The 25,835-nt window shown below is 40.8% G+C and overlaps 1 pseudogene across 1 annotated transcript in view, besides 1 other annotated feature; it reads right to left on the bottom strand.

Moving 5' to 3' along the window:
- LOC100420587 (SHC binding and spindle associated 1 pseudogene) overlaps positions 1-2,963 on the bottom strand; it is a 292,307-nt pseudogene extending 289,344 nt beyond the window's left edge. Inside the window, exons 1-3 of the transcript NR_110759.1 lie at positions 2,849-2,963; positions 1,563-1,606; positions 88-258 (exon numbers count right to left, since the gene is read on the bottom strand). The product of NR_110759.1 is annotated as an SHC binding and spindle associated 1 pseudogene (transcript). The remainder of the gene's footprint in view (positions 1-87; positions 259-1,562; positions 1,607-2,848) is intronic.
- Positions 20,298-20,498: a silencer, noted in NCBI's record as "peak3425 fragment used in MPRA reporter construct". NCBI's record gives its function as "represses an SCP1 promoter by STARR-seq MPRAs in K562 erythroleukemia cells {active_cell/tissue: K562}" and the evidence as "EXISTENCE:reporter gene assay evidence [ECO:0000049][PMID:32103011]".

A 25,835-nucleotide genomic window follows, 5' to 3' on the forward strand; every position in this document is an offset into this window, starting at 1 on the left:
CTCGGTGACAAAGCAAGACTCTATCACCAAAAAAAAAAAAAAAAAAAAAAAAAAGCAGAAAAGAAACAAAAAAGAGAACCTACTCACCTAAAATGTAGTCTTGATAGGCCCTGGATTACTCACAGAGTAAAAGTTGATTTGTTTGCAAAATTTCTAGGTGAAGTGGCTTTTTTCCTTCTGGAATAAAACTTTGTAAACTACAACCTGGCTCATCAAGACAGTTACAATCACTGCGTGAATCTTCATTTTGAAAGAAACCTAAAAAAACAAAAACGATAAGCAGGCACAAGTATCCCAGATACTTCCAGTGCTCGTAGAGTGCTTCTGTCTTCACATCCTTGCTTGAAATTCCAAACCAACAAGGATTTGAGTATGAATGCTCTATTTATCTCTATTATTGTCAGAAGAAACAGCTTTACGAACTTAAAAAATATCTGAAAATCCAAGTTCTACTTAAAAACAGTAAGAGCTTAAGATCTTTCACAAGTTAGGTTTTTGTTGTTATGTGGGGATTTGGAGGAAAGCAGAGAAATAAGGTTGTTTTTTAATCCAGTGGAAACCACCTAAGTTCTTCTCCCTAGAAGTAACTATCTTTACTATAGTTAGTAAGTTATAACAGTCAAGTATCTGTTATTTTTTTTTCTCCCAAACACTTCCACAAAGCAGCATTAAAAGAGAGAGCTGATTTCCTATACTCCCTCTCCAACGGGCTGAAGCCTCTCTTTATTTTCTACAATATCAGTCTGCCAATGGCTCCTCAATAAACAGGGATGAGAGATTCTTAATAATGCATAAGGTTTACTTCACTAAGACTACTAGGTTCCTCCTCATTAATTTCAATGACTGTGTCTAAGGAAAAGATCAGAAAATGCAAATCACATTAGGTTTGGGCTGTATGTAATTATGTTTCATAAGGCATGATTCAGCCAGTGGCGTATCTAATTCTGTGTAATAAGATGTTTTTAAAAAACGAAATGACGGCTGGGAACGGTGGCTCACGCCTGTAATCCCAGCACTTTGGGAGGCCGAGGCGGGCGGATCATGAGGTCAGGAGATCGAGACCATCCTGGCTAACACGGTGAAACCCCGCCTCTACTAAAAATACAAAAAATTAGCTGGGCGTGGTGGCGGGCGCCTGTAGTCCCAGCTACTTGAGAGGCTGAGGCAGGAGAATGGCGTGAACCTGGGAGACGGAGCTTGCAATGAGCCAAGATCATGCCACTGCACTCCAGCCTGGGCGACAGAGCGAGACTCTGTCTCAAAAAAAAAAAAACAAAAACCGAAATGACCACTAAATAAGCAATGCTGAGGGTAGCACTTAGACTGGCAGAGTAGTTTCCGAAGGTGGTTTCAAGGAAGGTGTCTGAGACGGTAATTAGCAGCAGTCTTTCTTCCTCCACCACCTTTGATTTTCTCCTTTCCCTTTCTCCTTCCTTCCATTCCTTTGTCCCAGCTCAGGCCCCCAGAATTACTTGATCCCACACATGAGACGATCAAAGCAGGCAAGGGTCTACTACTGTTCACAAACACTGACACGCATGAGCCTTAGAGGGCATCAACACCTTACTGGCTGTGTGACAATCTCTCTGTGCCTCAGTTTTCTTGCCTATAAAGAGAAGATAAAAATAGTATGCTTACTTCAATTAAATTAAGAGAATTAAAGAAATTACTTGTTAACCATTTACTACAGTGCCAATTACACAGTATATATGTATATTTGTTAAATATACCTTACTTCGGCACCACTCTTTACAGCTATTTTGTTTTTCCAGCTTTACTGAAGTAAATAAAAATATTGTATAATCTAAGGGGTACAATGTGATGTTTTGATATACATTATGAAATGATTGCCACCATAAAGCAAATTAACATTTCCATCACCTCGCATTTGTGCGCTGAGAACACGTCTCACTCTCGGCAAATTTCAAGTACACAGTAGTGTCATTAACTACAGTTACCAAGCTGCACACTAGATCCCCAGAACTTACTCAACTTTGTACTCTTTGACCCACATCTTCCCCATTTCTCCCACTTGCAGCCCCTAGCAACCACTACGCTGCTCTTTTTCTCTCAGTTCTGCTTTATTTTCCACATAGGTGATATTATTTAGAATTTTTCTTTATTTACAGCCACTTTAAAAATATTCCCCTTCGCACAGTGTTTCACTGCGTCTTCACCACAAGGACAGCCACTGGCTCCGTCTTTAGATGGGAAAACTGCGGCCCGGCGACTTTTGCTAGTTGGAAAGGTGGGTCAGTGGTGGAATTAAGTCACACTTAGGCCTTTTCACTTCGCAGCGGCTCTTTCCACTACACGATACAACTGAACGTGTTAAAGTAAAAACGTGACCCAGTTTAAAATGTCGGGGGCGGGGGAACGGAAGCGGGGGGAAGGAATCTACCTGAGGAGTGAGGAGGCAGAAAGGACCGAGAACAAGGGGACCCGGTTCCATTTCTGGACCCCGTCCGCAGGCTGCTCGCCCGACTTGGGGTCGCTCTGCCCCGGACGATCAGGACAGCTGCGTGGGCCCAGGGTTCCAGCTGCCTTTATCTTCGGGAGAGCGAATGGCTCAGATCTCCGCGGAGATGGAGCTGGAAAAGCGGAGCCCTCGCTCCACGGCTCGCGGCAGTTCCTTGAAGCCCACCCAGGTGGGGAGCCCCTGGCGCAGCCCAACTCTCTGCAGTCTCGGGGAAGCTGAGGCAGAGAGGGAAGCCCCGCCCCGGGTCCTTCCCGACCCCGACGTCCTGGCCCGCCGAGTCCCAAGGCCCCGGCCCGGGCGCCCCCCGAGGGGCCGGACGCCCAGGCCTCACTAGGGAGCGGCTCCTGGCCCGGCCCGGCGGGCGCTCACCTTTCTCCCGGGCACTGGAGCCTCCCTGGCCGCCCAGGTGCACGCGACCCCGAGACTCCGTCTCCCGGCCACCCAGTCAGGCACTTCAAATTCCCGCGGACGGCGCGGCGCCTCTGATTGGACGGGCGGCCGAGCTCGTACCGGTGAGAGCCCCGCCCCGCCGCCCCGCCAAGCGCCCCCTCCCGGCAGGCGGACCGCTGCTCTCGCTCAAGTTCTGGCGTGGGGCTGCGCTGGAGCAACTGGGGCGAAGTTGAACTGGGACATCCTTGGAGATGATTTTTGAAAAACGAGCAAGCCATGCCTGGAAATGAGGGAGAGTGGGAAAGACACTGGATTGAGAGTCAGAAGACATGGTGTTTAGACGGACTTCGGCCATTCCTAGGGGCACTGCCTTGGGCAAATCATTTCCCCTTTCAGGCGCACCTCACCTGTGCCAGGATGCTGGCACACACACAGTGTATTTTCAAAGAATGTCAAATGTAGTATTTGTTTTTATTATTGATCAAAGGCAGCTGTAGCTTCCAATAATAATGGCTAACATCTACCGAGTACTGTGTGCGAGACACCCTTCTGCATGCTTTACCTGAATTACCTTATTTAATCTTCAAAAACCATCCCGTGAGAGAGGAACTATTATTATACCCATTTTACAGAGAACTAATAGAGACAACGAGAAGTGAAGTGACTTCTCCGATCTAACTAGGCAAAGCCAGGAGGTGAAATCAGCCAGACTCCAGAAGAAACCCTTTAGTGCCTCTGTCAGGCCCTCACTTGCCAGGCTGATGAGAGCAACCTGAGATGGCCCAGGTCACCAGGACACCAGGCGGGGTGAGTCCACAGGAGGCCAGGAGCCTGGACATGACACCCAGGGCAGCCTTCTCGTAGGGAAATATTTCCACTTAATGCTTTGACGGAAAACCTGGGCTACAGTCTCTCAGATCCCCTACAGCTGAAATAAAACGGAGCCAGGAGAGGTGATTGTGGAAACCTGCACTTAATTCAGCTAGCTTTGCCAGGAAACAAGATTTCTTTGACTTGTGTGCAGAGTCTGACCTTACATTTATTTGTTCACTGAACAAATATTTATTGAGCACCATAAGGTGAAAACACAAAACAATAAAATTAGGACTAACAACGGGCCTTGAGGACTAAGGTAGCTTTTTCATAATTTTCCCGTTTAACCCTCCCGCCCATAAACCTCACAAGTGGCAGCATTTCTCCTTACCCATTTTCATCATCACTTTAGACAACACAGCTCTCTTCTTATTCAATTACCAAATATTTCTTCAAACATCAAGATATTACTCAAACCAGTGCTTCTAGAAAATTATTTGAAAGAAACAGGAGGCAACAGGGTCAGACAGAATACCAATGCTATTGCAAACTCCATAAAGGAGAAACTATTGATTACATGGGATACATTTGCTAGACACAGCCCTTCTCATTTCCACACCGGTGTCACCACATATTCCCTACTTGTTCAGATTCTATCAGAGGTTTTTAGAGTCTCTCCCTAAGTGGAGACCTGTTAGAAGCACATATGTCTTGTGAGTTTTCTTTCCCTGCCCCTCCATATCCTAAAGAAAGGATTTTTCTTCTTCCTCCTTTTCAATCTCTTCCCTTGTAGCCTATCATAACCTTCTACTCGCCCTAAGGTGGACATCACCTACTGCTATTCCATCTTTTTTATATCTTTGCTCTTTTTATCACTACTGGGTCCTTACTGTGTTTAAACATGGGCTCACAAATACCTGCGCTCCCCCTAAAACCTTCCCAAAGCCCAACTTCAACCCTGAGAAACTGCCCTTTTGCTTCCCTTCTTGGTAGCCCCAGACTTTTCAGTACAGTGCCTCCCTCTCCTGCTTTCTTGAAGGCCAGCAGCCCCTCCTGAGGCCCCCAACTTCCACCCCACAGCACTGACCTGGCTGACCACCCACCTGTGCTCTTTCCTCCCTTGCCCTCTGCGTCCTCTCCCTTGATCTCCAGTCTAGTTCTCTGACTACAGTACCTGGGTGAACTGTGGTCTGAAAGGATTGAATGAAAAATTCCAGAAATAAATGATAAGTTTCAAATTGTGAGCTGTTCTGAGTAGCAAGACTCATTCCTTTGTCCACAAGTGCCCACACTGTATACGCTACCCATCTGGTAGTCACTGTCAAGGCCGAAGGAAAACTTCTCCTTTACCCTTGAAGGTTTGTTGAAAATCAACCAACAAAAGGCAGATTAATAAGAGAAAAGGCATACAAATGTATTCACATGCACGGGGTTGGGGATATCACACAGGATGACCGCACCAGGCAGTGGGGTAGAGGTGGTTGTACACCCTTCTTCTTAGGGCAAAGGGAGGTGAGGAAGTGTGGATGATTGAGGGGTATGAGGGGAGAATTCCATGGGCTTAAAGAACATACAATGACCTGGGACAAAGTCTGTTGAGCCCACAGAGCAGACAATGGTTTATGACAAAAGTCCGTCCAGGGGTATTGAAAAACTCCCGTCTTTCTTCCTGCAATATACATTCAGTTAATTAAAATTCAGGGAAGAAACCCAAGGTAATTGTTTCCTTCTTTGGTGGGTCAGACTTTAGGCAGAAAAAGGAACTTCAGAGAACTTCATCTGTGCTTTGTGAGAGACAGAGGATTGGAAGACAGGATAGTGAAGGTCAGAGAGACCTTGAGGCTGCTTCTTCAGCTCACCATGACAAAGCACTGTGGTTTGGGGTATCAGTTTCTGGGCCCCAATATCACTCAGTGGCCATCTCAATTATCAGATCAAAAAAGCATAGTATAGTATATACAGGGTTTGGTGGGTTTGGTACTATTTGTAATTTCAGGCATTCACTGGGGGTCTTGGAACAGCACAGTGGGAGTACAGTAGTGTTCCCAAGGATAAGGGGGCACTACTGTACTCTTTCTTGCCCTTGTTTTTCTTCCTGTCTCTCAGATTCTCTAAACCTAGGTGATTCCCAGGGGCATATACTACAGAAGTCCTAGTACAGGTTATGGTGATTCATGCAAGAAAGTAGATTTGCTCATTTATTTGTCAAATAATAAATATATATATAGAATAGACTGTGGGCCAGACATTGTTCTACATTCTAGGGTAACAGGGCAAATAAGACAGCCAACATCCCAGCCTGCACATGATGAAAAAGTAAAAAAAAAAAAAATCAATTCACAAGCAAATTTCAATTATAAAAAATGCAAAAAATAAAAGAAATTCAATGATGTGACAGAAAATGAAGGGGGAACAAATTCAGATTTTATGCAAAACACTTGATTTTAAACTGTTAGCAACTAATTTTTAAAAAAATTAAATACCATGTAAGCCAGAAAAACTTCACTTCCTGGGCCAAATTGGCCCATGGCCCACCAGATTGCAATTTCTGTTCCAAGCTCCAACTACTGAAAATGTAGTCCAGGGACCAGGAGATTGTTAGAAATACAGAGCCCCTCCCTCCCTCCCCAACCCATCCCCCAGAGCTGCTGGATCAGAATCTGTGTTCAACAAGTTCCACAGTCCCCAAGTGACATCATTCACATTTGATGCAAAGGCCTTCAGAACTCATGTCTTTCCTGAGGCTGTTTAATTTTCATATTCCTGCTGGAAAACTTGACCTGGGGTTCTTACCTGTGGTTCACCTCCACCTCCACAATGCTGCAAAGCCACACCTAAGCACAGCCCATCCTCCAGTTTAGATGTCTCTCACCATGTCCCACTCCCCAACCACGGCCTGTGTGGGCCGCCACCATCTCCCCTAGGGCTGCTGGGGCAGCATCTAGGAAGTCACACTCAAGCCTCCACCTGCCCCAGCCCTTCAGAATTGACTGCTCTCCTCTTGCTGCTCCTGGTCTAGGGGTCTCAAACTTAAATATCGAAAGTCTAGACCAAAGACACAAAGCAGAGAAGTGAGTGCTGCTCTTTCTCCAGTGGGCAGGAGATGAGCCAATGTTGCCACGTGGGCCTTCCAAGAGAAGCCATAAAGCTAAATGTAGTGAGACAATTTCCATATTAAAATGTTAACATCTAGTTTTTAAAAATTCAAACAGTATGCCCACCAAATAAAACCTATCTGCAGACCACCAGTTTGAGACATCTAAGACCTAGTCTGCATGGTGCATTGTCACAGAGGCTGTGCACTCTTTGAAGGCAAGAAACGTGTCATGTTCCTTATTGCGTTGCTGGCACCTACCACTAGGACGGATTTAGTAAAGGGAAAAACTAAATTAATACTGTTTGTATCTGTGTGTGTGTCTGTCCTTTTTCTTTTAAATTTTAGATTCAAGGGCACAGATGTGGGATTCTTGCAAGGACATATTGCATGATGCTAAGGTTTGGGTTTCTATTGATCCTGACACCCAAATAGTGAACACAGTACCTGTATTTTTCAGTTTTCGCACTGCTATAAATAACCACTTGAGACTATGTAATTTATAAGGAAAAGAGGTTTAATTGACTCACAGTTCTGCATGACTGGGGAGGCCTCAGGAAACTTACAATCATGGAGGAAGGCGAAGGGGAAGCAAGTCACATCTTACATGGTGGCAGGAGAGGGAGAGAGAAAGAAGGAGAAGGAGAAAGAAGGAGGAGGAGGAGGAGGAGGTGGAGAAGGAGGAGGAGGAGGAGGCAGCAGCAGCACATACTTTTAAACAACCAGATCTTGTGAGGACACACTATCATGAGAACAGGAAAAGGGAAATCTGCCCCTATGATCCAACCACCTCCCACCAGTTCCCTCTCTTGACACATGGAGATTACAATTCCACATGAGATTTGGATGGGGACACAGAGCCAAACCATATCAGTACCCAATAGGTAGTTTTTCAACCCTTGCCCTCCTCCTTTTCTTCCACTTTCTGGAGTAACCAGTGTCTATTGTTCTCATCTTTATGTCCATGTAAACCCAATGTTTTGCTCCCACTTATAAGTGAGAACATGCAATATATGCATTTCTATTTCTGCATTAGTTTGCTTAGGATAATGGCCTCCAGCTGCATTTATACTGCTGCAAAGGGGATGATTTCATTCTTTTTTATTGCTGTGTAATATTCCATGGTATATATGCAGTACATTTTCTTTATCCAGTCCACTACTGATAGGCACCTAGGTTGATTCCATGTCTTTCCTATTGTGAACAGTGCTGCAATGAACATACGAGTGCAGTTGTCTTTTAGGTAGAATGATTTCTTTTCCTTTAGGTATATACCCAATAATAGGACTGCTGGGTTGAATGATTGTTTTATATTTAGTCCTTTGAGAAATCTCTAAACTGTTTCCCAAAGTGGCCAAACATTCCTACCAACAGTGGATAAATGTTCTCTCTCTTTTTTTTTTTTTGCAACCATGTAGGCTGCTTTGGGAAGTATGGCTATTTTAATGATATCCACTTTTCCAATCCATGAGTATGGAATGTTTTCCATTTGTTTGTGTCATTTATGCTTTCTTTCAGCAATGTTTTGTAATTCTCCTTGCAGAGCTCTTTCACCTTCTTGGTTAGATATATTACTAGGTATTTTTTTGTGTGTGGCTATTGTAAATAAGATTTCAGTCTTTACTTGGTAATCGGCTTGAACATTATTAGTGTAGAGATATGTTACTGATGTTTGTATGTTGATTTTGTGTCCTGAAACTTTACTGAAGTCATTTATTGGGTCTAGAGTCTTTGGGCTTTTGGTGGAGTCTTTGGGCTTTTTTAGGTGCAGGATTATATAATCAGTAAAGAGAGAAAACATGACTACTTCTTTTCCTATTTTAATGCCTTTTACTTCTTGCTCTTTCCTTATTGCTCTGGCTAGGACATCCAGTACTGTGTTGAATAAAAGTGGTGAAACTGAATATCCTTGTTGTGTTCCAGTTCCTAGGGGAAATGGCCCAGCTTTTGGCCATTCAATATGATGTTGGCTGTTGCTTTATCATAGATGGCTCTTATTATTTTGATGCACGTTCCTTTTATGACTAGTTATTTGAGGGTTTTTATCATGAACAAATGCTGGATTTTATCGAATGCTTTTTCTGCATCTATTAGATAATTCTATAGTTTTTGTTTTTAATTCTGTTTATAAGTTGAATCACATTTATTAATTTGCATACATTAAACTAACTTTGCATTCCAGAAGTAAAGCCCATCTGATCATGTGTGAACTAAGTTTCTGATGTGCTGCTAAATTTAGTTTGCTAGTATTCTGTTGGGGACTTTTGAATGTATGTTCATCAGGGATATTGGCCTGTAATTTTATTTTTCGGTTGTGTCTTTGCCAGATTTTGATATCAGGATGATACTGGTTTCATGGAATGTTTTAGGAAAGAATCCCTCCTCTTCAATTTTGTTTGAATAGTTTCAGTGGGATTGGTACTAGCTGTTTTTTATGTGTCTGGTAGAATTCAGCTGTAGTCCAGGGCTTTTTTTGGTGAGTAGTTGTTTTTGTTTGTTTGTTGTTCTTGTTTGTTTGGTAGTGAGTTTATTTCCATGTTTAGAACTTCATTAAGCATCTCTTGTAGGCCTGGTCTGGTGGTGATAGATTCCCTCAGCTATTGTTTTTCTGGGAAAGACTTTACTTCTGCTTTATGAAGCTTAGTTTGTCAGCATATAAAATTCTTGGCTGGCATTTCTTTTCTTTAAGGATGCTAAATATGGGCCTCAATCTATTCTGGCTTGCAAGGTTTTTGCTGAGAAGTCTGCTGTTCATCTGCTGGGTTTCCCCTCATAGTTAACATGACCCTTTTCTTTAGCTGACTTTAAGATTTTTTTCTTTCACACTGACCTTGGATAGTCTGACTACGCGCCTTGGGGATAGGTGTCTTTTATAGTTATCTTGCAGGAGTTCTCTGGATTTCTTATATCTGCAGGTTGACCTCTACAGAAAAGTTGGGGAAACTTCCCTGAATTATATTCTCAAATATATTCTCCAAGCTGCTTACTTTCTCTTCTTCTCTCTCAAGAGTGCCAATATGTCTTAGATTTTTATTGCTTTACATAATCTCATGTTTCTCAAAAGCTTTGTTCATTAAACATTTTTTGTCTTTATTTTTGTTGGGGTTGATTCAAAGAACCAATCTTTGAACTCTGAGATTCTTTCATCTGCTTGGTCTATCCTGTTGCTAAGGTTTTCAGTGTATTTTGAAGTTCCTGTAGTGAATTTTTAAAATTTTCAATTCCAAAAGTTCTGTTTATTTCATAACATAATTATGTTGTCTTTCAAATCCTGAATCACTTTTCTGTTTCCTTTGTGTTGGATTTCAACTTTCTCTTAGATCTTGTTGAGTTTCTTTGCCACTCACACTCTGAATTATATTTCTGTCATTTCAGACATTTCTTTTTGGTTAGAATCCACTTCTTGGGAGCTAGTAAGATACTTTGGAGGTGACAAAACACTCTGGCTTTTTGTATTACTGGAGTTATTGTGCTGATTTCTTCTCATCTGAGAAAGTTGACACTTTATTTTTCAAATGTGCTACCATTTGGATGGGGCATTTTGATTTCTTATTGTTTTTTCCTTTGAGAATTTGACTGTGGTTTATGTTGTGTATGATCAATTGGCTTTATGTCTGAGAGCTATCAGAGGGCCTGGGTTCCTTGGTTGCAGACAGATTCATATGGTGGCTTTCTAGGAAACTGCTTGGTGTAGCAATGTGTTTTCATTTGGTGCTATAATTCAGACTGCAGTCAAGTCGATGGCACTTCAGGGCAAGAGCCAGCAGGAGGGTCTCACTTTGCCTGTGCTCACCCTCAGCAGGGGTGGAGGCAATAGAGACATACGAGAGCACCCTCCCCCAGCACTGCTGTTCTTCAGCAGAAGTAGAGGCCCTTGAGAAGCTCGAGAAGTGCCTCTTTCAGCCCACGCTTCCCGGGACCCAACAGGAAGATCTATGGCTGCATCCACAGCAAGGCACTGAGGAGAAACAGGGGCAATTAGACGACCTCCTCTCCAAGTTTGTTTGTAGGCTTTGGTGTTACCCCCTCCAGTGGTTGGCACTGCGCTTCCATTTCCTTTGACCCAAGGGAAGCTTTGACAGGCTGTGTTCTTACTTCCCTTAAAGGCTGTCCTCACCAAGGGTTAGGTCTCCAGCGCAGGTGTGCGGGGCAGGTAAGGGGGAGGGTGCCTCCCTTCCACTCCTCAAAGTTGGTGGGTCACACTTTGCCAGCTGATCAAGGGAGCAAACTGGGGCACCCAGCAAGGATACACACTGACTGGTTCCAGATCATAAAGCTGTCCTTGGCTGCAAGTCCTCCTGCTAAGGAGAAACCTCTTCTTCAGCACTTCTCCTGCGGCAGCCCCCTGTAACAAGAGAGTCTAATTTAACTGCCTGCTCCTGGAGTGGTATCCACACTCACCACTCAATTCTGGCTGTGGGGGCCCTTCCCCTGCTCCAGGGCAAATGGTCTACTCTCTGGCCTGAGACTAAAATGTCTGCAGAAGACATTATTGCCAGGTTGCCACACAATGACTGCCTTGGTATGAGCCCAGATTAAAAATAGTATCATCCTCTCGGTCCCAAGTCTGGGAAAATGCCAGCAGCTTTTCCCAGTGTCTTCCCTCCCTCCATCTCTCAGCCTCCCCCAAGCTAGCTCCGGGGCTTGAGAAAAAAGGGGTGCTCTGTCTTGGCCTGGGTTGCACAGACCCCTAGCAGAAGGATGAGACACAGAGGGAGACAGGCTGCCACCCTTGCAGACAAGGGCTTTACTCACTGGTCAGCCAAATGCTGTCATGGAAGCTGCTTGTGCGTCTTTCCCTCCCCAGAGTCTGGTGTGTCCTTCACTAGTCTGGTGAATTCCTGTCTTCCTTCTTGAGTGAAAATTCACAGAGTTGATCTTTAAGCACTATTTTTCTATTTCCCTGTGGCTGTGGCATGCGGAAAGCCTCTCATCTGCCATCTTCATCATTACCGGATTCTCTAATTTACTGCTTGTTTTCCCTTCCTTCCTTCCTTCCTTTGCATTCTCTTTTCATCACCAACATGGTCTCTAACCCCTAGTGGACCTTTCAGATAGTGGTTTGCCTATGGTTCTTTTTATATATAACAATACAATGTCATTAGCCGAATAACTTGGGTTTAGAGTCTAGCAGCCAGGGCTGGGGCCATGCTGGCTGCTTCTGCCCAGATGCTTCCAGGAAGCAGATTCAACATTGACATCATTACCCGAGTCAGGGTCAGTGAAGGCTGATTGTATTGGTGACCCTCTTCCGCCTGCAAATATCTCAACAGCTTCCCTAAGAACAGGAACAGCCTTTCGGGTGGTAACTAACAGCGTGGCTAAGGGCTTTGATTCCCTAGGAGACAAGTACTACTGTAAGTCATTATTGGACATTCATGTGAATCAATTTCAGAGAGCAAATATGGACCAGACAGACAGCACATATTCTGAACAGCAGAGAAAGGGAAAGAGGGCCCCTGATTGTAGGAGGGGTCCCATTGGGGTAAGGCTTGTCTCTCTATCTGCAGCTGTATAGAGCTCCACATGGGCCCAGGGTGGGCCTGAGCACCTTCCATAAGAAAGAAAGGTAGCCCACAACTCCCATCGGCTTCAGGGAGAGAAGAGATACTAGCTCACTGCTACTGATTTGAGTATCTAGGGCTTCCCATAATGAAAACGAAACCAAAGAAAAGCCAGGCCCAAATCTTGGCATGTATTTTCCACTAGAGGGCAGCTTAAACTTTCAAAATAAAATAAATCTTGCACACTTTGTAAAGTACTATATATAAAATTTGTATGTACACATCATGTAAAACTAATGTTCATATTCTAGTCTTTGCAAGCCTGTACAAGCAGGTCAAGTGTTCAATTCCATATGTCTGAATGTATGTATCCTAGGAAACTAGTCTAGGATACAACTGAAAAATTCTGAAGAAAGTTAAGAAGAGAAGTGCCAATGCCCAGTGATCTGCCCTCTCAGTCCAAGTCCTGCCCTGCACGACCCAGTGTTTATGTTTTTATCAGGCCTATGGAGAGAACACAGGTCAGTGTGTCTGCTTCTAGCTATGATGAGGAACTGAAGTTAAATTTACCTTCCCACTATAAGGAACTAGAAAACCAGACAAAATATATGAAACAACAGTTTTTAAACAATGATCACGGCAGGGCTGTGATCCCTAAGAGAAGACAAACAAAAGTTGTGAGTACTGTAATCCCCCTGGCTTTCTGCCTGCAGGCGCCTCTGGACTGCAGAACTGGAAGGGGGAGTTTCAACAGAGCACAGCATCTCACCGAGTTAGGGAAAGAGAGATCAGTTTGGAGAGACAGTAGTGGCTGGAATTTTTAAAAAGAAGAACCAAGAGAAAGAGCTGATTTCAAAAAGAGCTTGAGAAATGTTTAGAAGGTTGCCACTCTAGTCTGATTCTGAATACTGAGCCACATGTTACTAGGGTGAAACTGCATGGGCTGAGCCAAGAGTTAAACGATGACCACAACTCACACAGGGATGGGAGACATGGAGTTCAGACAAGCCAGAGCGGTGACCCCTCAAAGACAACTATCTAAAGTATATAAAGCACTCACAGAACTCTGAAAACAACAAACAATGAAAGACAAATAGGCAAAAAACATAAATAGACATTTCACTGAAGAGGATATAAGGATGCCAAATAAGTACATGAAAAATGTTCAACTTCATTAACATAAGGGAAATGACAAATGAAACCTGATGGCTCACGCCTGTAATCCCAGCACTTTGGGAGGCTGAGGCTGCTGAATCACCTGAGGTCAGGAGTACAAGACCAGCCTGGCCAACAAGGGGGAAACCCCATCTCTAATAAAAATACGAAAAAATTAGCCGCGCATTGTGGTGCACGCCTGTAATCCCAGCTACTCAGGAGGCTCAGGCAGGAGAATCACTTGAACCCGGGAGGCGGAGGTTGCAGTGAGCGGAGATCGCACCACTGCACTCCAGCCTTGATGACACAGCGAGATTCTATCTCAAACAAATAAATAACTAAAACCATAATGAGGTATTACTACACACATATCAGAATGATTAGAATAAAAATTAGCAGAAGTAGCATAATGCTGCGATACAGAGAAACTGGATTACTCAAACATTGCTGGTGAAATGTAAAATGGTACAAACACTCTGGAAAATAGTTTGGTGCTTTCTAAAAAAAATGAAACATGTAAGTACCATAAGACACATAACTGTATTCCTGGGCATTTATCCCTGAGAAATGAAAATTGTGTTTATACAATCACCTGTACACTAATGTTTATAGCAACATTAGTCATAATAGCCCTAAACTGGAAACAACCCAGACGTCCTTCAATAGGTGAACTGTCAGACAAATTGTGATGCCTTCAAGCCATGTGTATAAATTAGACTTCTCCAGAGAAAGAGAATTAATATAAGATTATGTTGGTGGGACTGTAAACTAGTTCAACCATTGTGGAAGTCAGTGTGGCGATTCCTCAGGGATCTAGAACTAGAAACACCATTTGACCCAGCCATCCCTTTACTGGGTATATACCCAAAGGACTATAAATCATGCTGCTATAAAGACACATGCACACGTATGTTTATTGCGGCACTATTCACAATAGCAAAGACTTGGAACCAACCCAAATGTCCAACAATGATAGACTGGATTAAGAAAATGTGGCACATATACACCATGGAATACTATGCAGCCATAAAACATGATGAGTTCATGTCCTTCGTAGGGACATAGATGAAATTGGAAATCATCACTCTCAGTAAACTATCGCAAGAACAAAAACTGAACACCACATATTCTCACTCATAGGTGGGAATTGAACAATGAGAACACATGGACACAGGAAGGGGAACATCACACTCTGGGGACTGTTGTGGGGTGGGGGGAGGTGGGAGGGATAGCTTTAGGAGATATACCTAATGCTAAATGACGAGTTAATGGGTGCAGCACAACAGCATGGCACATGTATACATATGTAACTAACCTGCACATTGTGCACATGTACCCTAAAACTTAAAGTATAATAATAATAAAATTTTAAAAAAAGATTATATATAGAGGGGGTGGGGGGAGAGAGAGAGAGAGAAGGGGGAAATTTTTAGAAATTGGCTCACACAATTGTAGGAGCTGGCATTTTTAAACTTTGTAGACCAAACAGGCAGACTGAAAACTCAGGTAGGAGTGGATGCTGAAGTCTTGAGGCAAAATTTCTTTTTCTTTGGAAAACTAGTCTTTTCTATTAAGGCCTTCAACTATTTATATGAGGCCCATGACATTATTGAGAGTAATATCTTTTACTTAAAATCAACTCATTATAGATGTTAACCATGTCTACAAAATACCTTCACAGCAACACCTATATTAGTGTTTAATTAAATAACTGGGTACTATGGCTTAATCATATTGACACTTAAAACTGACCATCACACCATATTCAGCAATTAAGAAGAGCAAACTATTGCTATACATAAGAAACTGGGCGACTCTCCAGTGAATTTTGCTGAGCAAAAAAGCCATTTCTAAAAGGTTACATACTGTATAATTCCATTTATATAACATTTTTGAAATGACAAAATTTTAGAAATAGAAGAGTAATTAGTGGTAGCCAGAGTGGGAGGAAGAGGTGGGAGTAGATAAGAAGAAAAAGAAGGAGGGTGTGTTTATGAAATTACAACATAAGGGATCCTCGTGATACTGGAACTGACCAGTATCTGAACTGTGGTGTTGAAGACATGAACTTATACAGATTCTAAAATAATATAATACTTAATCCACACACACAATGAGCACAGCAAAATTAGGGAAATTGGATTAAGGTCAGTAGATTATATCAATGTCAATATCCTGGTATAATAGATACTATATTATACTATATTATAGTGTATAATGAGCATAATTTTCATTTCTCAGGGATAAATGCCCAGGAGAACAGTTGTGGGTCACATGGTAGTTACAGGTTTTATTTGTTAAGAAAGTGACAAACTACTTTTCAGTGTAGTTGTACCATTTTACACTTCCAGCAGCAATGTTGGAGTGATCCAGTTTCTCTGTATCCTTGGCAGCATAACACTATGCCACAACATAGTATCTGCTATACTGTATTATAGTATATTATATATATACTATAGTATAGTATATATTAATGTATACTATATTATACTATAGTTTTCAAATGTTACAACTGGAGGAAACAATGCAAAGTGAGCGGAAATCTCTATTATTTTTTAACATCAACTTTATTCTTATAATTTACATAAATAAAATGCAGTCACTTTAAGTGTACACTTTAAAAGTTTCAACAAACATATACAATTGTACAATCATCACCACAACAAAGATATAAAATATTTTCATCATCCCAAAAGAGTCCCTTGTGTCACTTCCCAGTCAACCGCCTTCTCCTAAAACCCCTGTTTCCAGCCCCTGGTAAACATTGATCTGCTATCATTATAAATTTGTCTTTACTAGGTTTCATATATGTAGAATCATGGAGTGTGCATACTGTATAATTCCAACTACATGTCATTCTGGAAAAGGCAAAACTATGGAGACAGTAAAAAGATCAGTGGTTGCTGAGAGTTACGGGCAGAGAGTGGGATGAATAGGCAGAGTAGAGAGGATTTTTAGAGTAGTGAAATTTTTTGTATGATGCTATAATACTGGATACATATAATTACAGTATACCTTTGTCAAAACCTATAGAATGTACAACATCAAGACCGAACCCTAATATAAATTATAAACTTTAGGTGATAATGATGTGGCAATGTAGACTCAGTTGTAACAAACGTACCACTCCGGCAGACAATGTTGATAATGAGGGAGGCTGCGGAGGATGTATTAATACAAGGGAACTATCTGTACTCTCCACTTAAATTTGCTCTAAAAAAAAGTATTTTTAAAAAGAAAAAGTAAGAAAAGCTCAGAGCCTACCAGACTCATAAATGTTAGTGTTCTTCAGGGATGGCCTCACTTCTTTTATGTCTCTGTTCTTAAAAAAACTAGATAATTTTATCCAGTCAACCCAGCAATGTCCTTGTTGGGTATATGCCCAGAGCAACATACACTGTTCTACCAGAATGCATGCCCACACCAGCATTCACCATAGCAGAGACAGGGAATCAACCAAGGTGCCCATTAATAGTGGACTGGATAAAGAAAATATGGTAAATATATACCATGCAATACTACACACCATAGAAAATAATGAAATTATATCCTTTGCCACTGGAGGCCATTATCCTTAGTGAAACAGTGTAGAAAGAGAAAACCAAATACCACATGTTTTCACATATAAGTGGGATCTGAACATTGAGTACACATGGACATAAAGATGGGAACAACAGACGCTGGTTGCTACAAGAGGAGAGAGGGTTAGATGGGGGGCAAAGTTTTAAAAACTACCTATCAGGTGCTATGCTCACTAACTAGGTGATGGTATTATTCATACCCCAAACCTCAGTGACATGCAATTTACCCACGTAACAAACCTGCACACGTATCCCCTGAACCTAAAATAAAAGTTGAAGAAAAAAAGAAGCCAAAAAGTGTGTTATTATTGAATAAAAGAAGAATTTTGAAATGACTTATAGCACTCTTTCCAAGTTTTGGTCCCCTGTGTTAGACCTTAAGGTATCAATACGCTCTTAATATTATAAGAAGTTTTGATTTTTAACTCAGAGAAGTTCAACTTTTGTTGTGTCTTGCTGCTTTCAGCTTTCTATCCTCTTGAGAAGGCCTGAGAGGATAACTTTCTCTTTGTAACTTTTTCATCAGTGTTTGTAACTTTTTTCCCCCTATAACTCTAAATGCTGTTGAGGCCTGATGCAAAAATATTTTATCTTAAAGGTCTCAAAGGCAGTGGTTTCCTCCAGTATAACTTGATTCTGCACTCTTGTTTTTTCTTAATATATCTAAATTGTTTCATGAACAGGAAAACTTAACTCATGACTGGGAGTAATTTGAGTATTCTTTCCATCAGGTTTGAATTCCAGGTGATCTGAATAGGCTTCTCATAAGTGGAAGCCATCACTGCAGAGGGTCTTCCTTCGACTTTGGTAACTGGCCTAAGAAACAGATCTTATGTTTTATTGAGATAATTCCTACGTCATCATTATTAAATTTTTTATTTGCTTAGGAAAACTGAGATTTAAAGAAAAATTAAGGCTTTTACACCTATATAACATTCTGTATTGATTTTAAAATCCTTGTGCTGTTAAGTTACAGGACTTTGACTCCTGGGTCTTGAAAAGGCACCAATTCCTGTTAAATCTTGAACATTTAAAATGCATTTGTGAGACACAGGGCCAGAAATTAAACTTATTCAATCTCTCTCAGCCCAGGGACTACTATGAAAGAGGTGGGCATGTAAGATTATAGGGGCTTATTTTGAGAGACAAAATTAGTTCAGAGTTTCTCTGTAAATTAAACATTTTTATCAAAAGCACATTGATGCAAGGTCAGCATATAGGTCCCTGTGTTGGAATAGCAAGGTTTCCTTGAGGCATTAATCTGCTCCTTAACTTAAAAAAAAAAAAAAAAAAAAAAGCTTATAAAAGATTTATGGAAATTATATCTTATCAAGCTGACTAAAATTAGATTTGTTCATAAGGCTTATTTATATTAGCTTAAATATTAGTAATACATTATATGAAGGTAAATTTTAATTTTTAGTTTTCTCTTTTGAACAAAACGTTTGTGTAATATTAAGAAATAGTAAAATGTTTTTGTTTGCCCTTTGAGTAAACTACAAAAAAAAAAAAAAAAGAAAAAAAAAAACAAGAAGGGGGAGAGAGAGAGACAGACCCAGCTGGCCTCATGGTGTCTTTATTAGACCTTATTATTTGGGAACCTGAGTCTCTTCTATGTTAAGAGTAAAAGTTTCTGCCTTTTTGAAATTTTTGAGTTATCACTTTGGCTAACTGAATAACTTATTTTCAGTAACATATAATGCCATTTTGCAATTTTAAGTGTTTTAAACCTTTGTTATTTGACAAATGCTCCAAAATCAAATTCTAAATTCAGTCTTTTGGCCTTAAACTAACTTTTTAGAAGTCCAGCAAAGACATATTTGTCTTATTTGGTATAATAAAATCATACAGGAAGCATTGTCAAATATACGAAGGTGTTTAACTTTCTTTGGGTTATATTTATATAAATGTCTTATTAGTATGTGCTTCAAAATCGTATGATTCCTACAGTTCTAATATGTTTGAGTATATGTTATCAGTAATAATTATAATTATTATGTTAAATTGTTGTATGTTACAAAATAATCAAATTTCCTTGTCAATTGTATCTCTAACAATGACAGTTCTAAGATTTTGCCATCCACAAATATTGTATTACTTTAATCCTTTTCAAAAAGTAGTTTTTAACTTCAGTGAGTGCTCTTAAACACAGGTTTCTGATAATTTTGGAGACTGTGTTGTTGGAATAGAAAAATATAACTTCCAGGACTCTAATTAAAAAGTTAATGTGTTCATGAGAATTGTCAACACAATATCAACTGGAATGAGTTAATTGGGCTTGATGGTTTGAAAAAATCTAACCTGAGATTTATTGTATTAAAATGTTCCAGTAAAGCCAATTTTAAAAAGAAGCCTATATGGAGGATAGTTTTTCTTGCTGGAATTTATGCAAATAATCAGGCCAAGTATAATAAAACTAAAACATTTTTTTTTTCAAATAAATTAGTCCTGCTATGAGTTGTCTTTGGTAAAAATGGAGAACTGAAAGAGACAAATTATCTTTCAAAAGAAACTATAGTATATGTGTTATTACATTCTAGTCTTGTTCACTGTTTTTTCAGTTTTTATTATTTTCTACAATTTGGACCAAATCCTAAAGTTTTCCTGGCTACAAGTTTTCCAAACTAATGTTTTTAATTTTTTCCTTTCTTTTTTTTCCTCTAATTTGTCTAATTTGAAATCACCAGAAATTAAAGCTGTGTTTTTCTCAAAGCACTGTGAACTGAAGCTAAACAACTTAGGAAGAAATAACAACCTATTTATATGTCCTAAATCAGTTTTCCAGGATTCTTTTCCCTTTTTGTTGTTATGATCTTTCCTCCCTCCTTTTTTTCCCCATTTTATTTCTCTGTTCTTCTCAATGGAATGTGAGAATTCACAACCTGAATGAGCCTTCCTAACAATGTGGACTTATCCATCTAGGAATGAACTATCCTAGTGGTGAGAGATCAGACAAAACCCAATACCACAGATTCATTTTCATCTAAAATACTTTCTTTGAAAGATCCTTTTAAATAGGGGGAAAGTGATAAAGAAAAACTAGAATGTTGGAACCCCAAATTAATTATGCCAAAAGGGAAAAGTTAGAGCCTAGAAGCTGAGTTATTAAAAACAAAACAAAACAAAAAACTGCCTTTCCTTTTGTTCCTAAACCGATTGCTACAGATAGAATGCCACATGTCTCCACAAAGGGCCTCCCTCATCCTGACAATGTAAATTAACAGCTTATCTTCATGGACACAAAACAAGAGGAGACTGGAAACCGTCCCACCACCCACCCCAAGACAAATGCATACTTGACTGCTTCCTCTACTCAATGTTTACTTTATCTTATGTAAAGTGCACATTTACCGAACACGAGATGAATGCATAATTGACTTTTCCCTCTACGTCCGCCTTTTCACGTGCAACAGGTGGATTCAGTTAACCTAACAGAAGCCTCACAAGAATGTGACCATATCCTTCTCTTTTCTTTCTTTCCCTTTTTCCCTTCTGCCACATTTACCCTTTAAATATTGAAGCCATCAAAACCTTCCTCAGAAAAAGCACAGGCCCCAGATCCTGTTGTAGCTTATGTCTGTTTTTCCCAGGTACATCGTCAGCCTTGACAAAATACATCTCTAAAATGATAAAGACTCGCCTCATTTTTTCTGATACATATGAAAAGAGGGTCTATATTTACATTAATCTCTGAGTGTTCTTGGCCTCATTGAAGACCCACTTCCAAAAATTAGACACCTTCTCAGAAATTGGGAGGAATATAATTTTTTGCTTCAATTCTCACCAAACTGCCCAGAAACCTCCTGACATCTTGGAATGTCTTTTAAGAATCCCAGGTATCCCAGTAACCATTTTCACATACAATACAGCTGGACTGGCTGGTTCATGATGTAAATAGACCTGTTCTGTCACCCCTACTCCATCACTGCTGTCACACAGACATTCCTCCTCCCATTCTAAGGAAAGGTCTTTATAATGTGACAACACCTTCCTCAGGAAGTCTCCCAGTCCTTATTTCTGAGTGAGCCTCATATTTCATTATTTTTGGAGGATATTCCTGACCAGCTGGGGTGATGGTACCCTAGGAGAAGGTATCATTCCATACTAGTCTTGAGCTCAGAAGCAGATCCGGGAGGAATTGTCCCTTAAGCACTAAGGGTTTCTACTCTTCTCAACCCATATTCATTCCTTAGTTTATCCCACCCAGTCTCGTGGCTTTAAACTCCATCTACATTTTTCACTTTTGAAAGCATGCTCTGTGGACCAGTAGCAGCATCTGGGAGCTGGCTGGAAGTGCAGCTTTCCAGACCCTGCCCTCGTCCTACAAAATCAGAATTTGCATTTTAACAAATCCCCAGATGACTTACCAGCATGTGGTGGTGCGTTGCCCTATGCCTGGTACCTCCCAAGTTATCTCCTGTCCTGATATCTGCCCCAGCCACTCTGCAGCTGCTTACATCACAGTTCAGCTTGAAGGTCCACCAGACATATTAAACATATCCAAAATCAGATTCTTAGTTTCTGCTCCCTAACCCTGCCCCACCCCCTGCCTTCCCCATTCCAGCAATTACCCTTATCCAGTTGTTCAGAACAGCAATCTTGTCATTATCCCTGAAGACTTCCCTCATACGCTATCCAATCCCCCAGAAACTGCTTCCATCCACTTATTACCACTTGCCCTGCTGCCTGTCCAAGGCAACATGGCGTCTGACATAAAGTGATACAATTTCCTCCATCTTGCTACTTCCAGTCTTACCACCACAGCAGCCATCATGATCCTTTTAAAATGCAAGTAAGAACAGTTGCTCCCAGAGTCCCATCTCATGTTTTGGAGTGCTGGTCACAGGCGTCACTGTGGCCTCCAGGGCTCTGCAGGATCTGAATATGCCCTGAGCCCAGCTCATGGCCAGCCATTCTCCCATGACTCACAGCTCACCAGCCAAACCAGCTGCTTTGTGCTCCTTGAAGTGTGAACACATGGACACACTCTTGGCCACAGTGCTAGTGTGGCTCATGCTTCATCTGCTCATGTTTCTTCTTTATGGAGGTTTTCCTCACCACCTCATCAAAACGATGCTTCTGCCTATCCTCTAGTCCCATTTTCTGTTATTTTTTTCACAGCAGTTCTTGCCACCTGACATTTTTCACATTTATTTACCTATTTATTTATTTTCTGTTTTCCCAACTAAAGTGAACGTGGTGCTTTGTGGTTTTGCTGTCTCCAGTGCCTAGCTCAATGTCTGAAACATAGTAGATTTTTCTTAAATATTTGCTTAGTAAATGAATTTTACTGCTCAGTGGGCACCACTCTTACCCCTGAGAAAGAGTCCTATCATTTTTCTAAATAGGCCAGGAGAAGAGGTCCTGACTGCTATCATTAATCACTAGTTAGTCCACTACTTTTGCCTAATGGAGTAAACATATCCTAATAACTTTTTCCCAATGTTTGCTTACAAAGTCCCTTCTGGATCAAATTCTTATGTTAGAGAAAGAAAACAGTGTAAGATGCATTTGAAAGAAAGCATAATTCCATTTGCCTTTTATTGCCGCATATCACTATAGGCCTATGGAGTGACCAATACAAAATGAAAAATATTCTCCTAATATTTGTAAACTTTCACTTAGAAAAACTTCTCATTCCCTGAACTCTTTTCATACCCCGAGAAAAAAATACTTAATGGTAAATGTTTTAAAAAGCAAGCTTACATTTACTTGTTATGAGTGGATTTCTCTATAAGTCTTAGTATATATCAGAGAAAAAAACATGTTCTAAAACTTCTCAATGTTTGCTAACAAATTCCTTTCTGTGTTAAACCCTTCCAATCACTAAAAAATAGTTTATAATTCTTTTGATCAAAGTATAATTTCTTACAAATGTTTTTCTATATAAAAATTTTTCATTCACTTTAATAAAAGTTAATGATATATCCTAAGAAAAACTCTTTCTTACATTTGCTTTTTATTGCTGGATGTCTTTATTGGTAGATGAAGGCCAGAAGAAGTAAAAAGAAGTTCAAATTACATATATATATACACACACACACACACACACACGTATGTATATATACATACATATCATATATATGATATGATATAACATATATATGATATGTATATCCATATCATATATATATGTTATATCATATCATATATATATCATATATCATATCACATATATCCTATATCATATATATCATATATCATATCATATATCATATATATATAATTGATTAGAAAATAGTTTTCTTGTACAACTCGTTCATGCACTGAAAGAAAACAGTTGATAGTAAATTTTGATAAAAGCAAGCCTGACATTGACTATTTATAGGTGGATTGCTCTATCGTCCTCTAGGCCAGGGGTCCCCAATCCCTGGGCCATGGACCACTACTGCTCTGTGGCCTGTTAGGAACTGGGCTGCAAAGCAGGAGGTGAGTGGAGGGTCAGTGAGCAAAGCTGAACTCCAACTCTTATTGTGAACTGCCCCTGCGAGGGTTCTAGGTTGCACACTCCTTATGGGATTCTAATACCTAATGGTCTGTCACTGTCTCCCATCACCCCCAGACGAGACCATCTAGTTGCAGGAAAACAATCTCAGGCCTCCCACTGATTCTACATTATGGTGGGTATGTAATGATAATAGAAATAAAGTGCACAATAAATGTAATGAGTTTGAATTATTTCGAAATTATCTCTCCACCATATGTGGAAAAATTTTCTTCCAAGAAACTGGTCCCTGGTGCCAAAAAGTTTGGAGCCCACTACTCTAGATGGCTATTAGCAAAATGAATATGTTCTAATACATATTCCTCAATATTTGCTTACAAATGCCATTTTGTGACAAATTCTATTCACTGACAGGAAACAGTACATGATGAGTCCTAGGGGGAGGATGATTACAAATTTATTTTATATCTAAATATCTCTCTAAGTCTATAAGCACTGAATGAGAAAAAAATATATTCATATAACATGTTCTAAACTTTCACTTTGAAAAACATCTTATTCATCCAAATTTTCTATTAACTGAAAGAAAAGTTAACAAAGAATCATGAAGAATGCAAGCTTACATTTACTTTGTATGCACAGATTTCTCTATTGGCCTCCTGGCATAAATGGACAAGGACACATGTTCTAATAACCTATTTTCCAAATTTGCCTAAACATGCCTTCCTGTGTCAAACTCTTCTATGCACTGAAAAAAAAAATAACTTATGATGCATCCTCAAAGAAGTATAATTACATTTTCCTTTTATTGCTGGGCATCTGTGTTGGCTGATGAGGGCTCCAAAAACCCAGAAATATATTAGAATACTGTATTAGTCCATTTTCACGCTGCTGATAAAGACTACCTGAGACTGGGAAAAAAGAAAGGTTTAATTGGACTTACAGTTCCACATGGCTGGGGAGTCCTCAAAATCATGGCAGGAGGTGAAAGGCATTTCTTATATGGTGGTGGCAAGAAAAAATGAGAAAGAAGCAAAAGTGGAAACCCCTGATAAACCCATCAGATCTCATGAGACTTATTCACTATCATGAGAATAGCATGGGAAAGACCGGCCCCCATGATTCAATTACCTCCCCCTGGGTCCCTCCCACACATGTGGGAATTCTGGGAGATACAATTCAAGTTGAGATTTGGGTGGGGACAGAGCCACACCGTATCATTCCACCCCTGGACCCCTCCAAATCTCATGTCCTCAAATTTCAAAACCAATCATGCCTTCCTAACAGTACCCCAAAGTCTTAACTCATGTCAGTGTTAACTCAAAAGTCCACAGTCCAAAGTCTCATCGGAGAAAAGGCAAGTCCCTTATGCCTATGAGCCTGTAAAATCAAAAGCAAGTTAGCTAATTCCTAGATACAACAGGGGTATAAGCATTGGGTAAATACAGCCATTCCAAATGAGAGAAATTGGCAAGGGGATGCAGGCCCATGCAAGTCCGAAATCCAGCAAGGCAGTCAAATCTTAAAGTTTCAAAATGATCTCCTTTGACTCCATGTTTCACATCCAGTTCACGCTGATGCAAAAGGTGGGTTTACATGGGCTTGCGCAGCTCCGCCCCTGTGGTCTGGCAGGGAACTGCCTCCCTCCCAGCTGCTTTTATGGGCTGGTGTTGAGTGTCTGTGGCTTTTCCAGGTGCACGGTGCAAGCTGTCGGTGGATCTACCATTCTGGGGTCTTAGGATGGTGGCTCTCTTCTCATAGCTCCACTAGGCAGCACCCCAGTGGGGACTCTGTGTGGAGTCTCCCACCCCACATTTCCCTTCCATACTGCCCTAGCAGAGGTTCTCCATGAGGGCCCCAGCCCTGTAGCAAACTTCTGACTGGACATCTAGGTATTTCCATACATCCTCTGAAACCTAGGTGGAGGTTCCCAAACCTGAATTCCTGACTTCTGTGCACCCACAGGCTCAACACCACATGGAAGCTGCAAGGCTTGAGGCTTGCACCCACTGAAGCCATGGCCTGAGCTCTATGTTGGCCTCTTTCAGTCATAGCTGGAGTGGCTGGGACACAGGGCACCAAGTACCTAGAATGCACACAGCATAGGGACCCTGGGCCTGGTCCAGGAAACCATCTTTTCCTCCTAGGCCTCTGAGCCTGTTATGGGAGAGACTGCTGTGAAGACCTCTGACATGCCCTGGAGACATTTTCTCCATTGCCTTGGGTATTAACATTACTTATGCAAATTTCTGCAGCTGACTTGAATTTCTCCTCAGCAAATGGGTTTTTCTTTTCTATTGCATTGTCAGGCTGCAAATTTTCCAAACTTTTATGCTCTGTTTCCCTTTTGAAACTGAATGCCTTTAATAGCACC

Source organism: Homo sapiens, chromosome 19 (genome assembly GCF_000001405.40).
Source record: "Homo sapiens chromosome 19, GRCh38.p14 Primary Assembly".
NCBI classification, from domain to species: domain Eukaryota; kingdom Metazoa; phylum Chordata; class Mammalia; order Primates; family Hominidae; genus Homo; species Homo sapiens.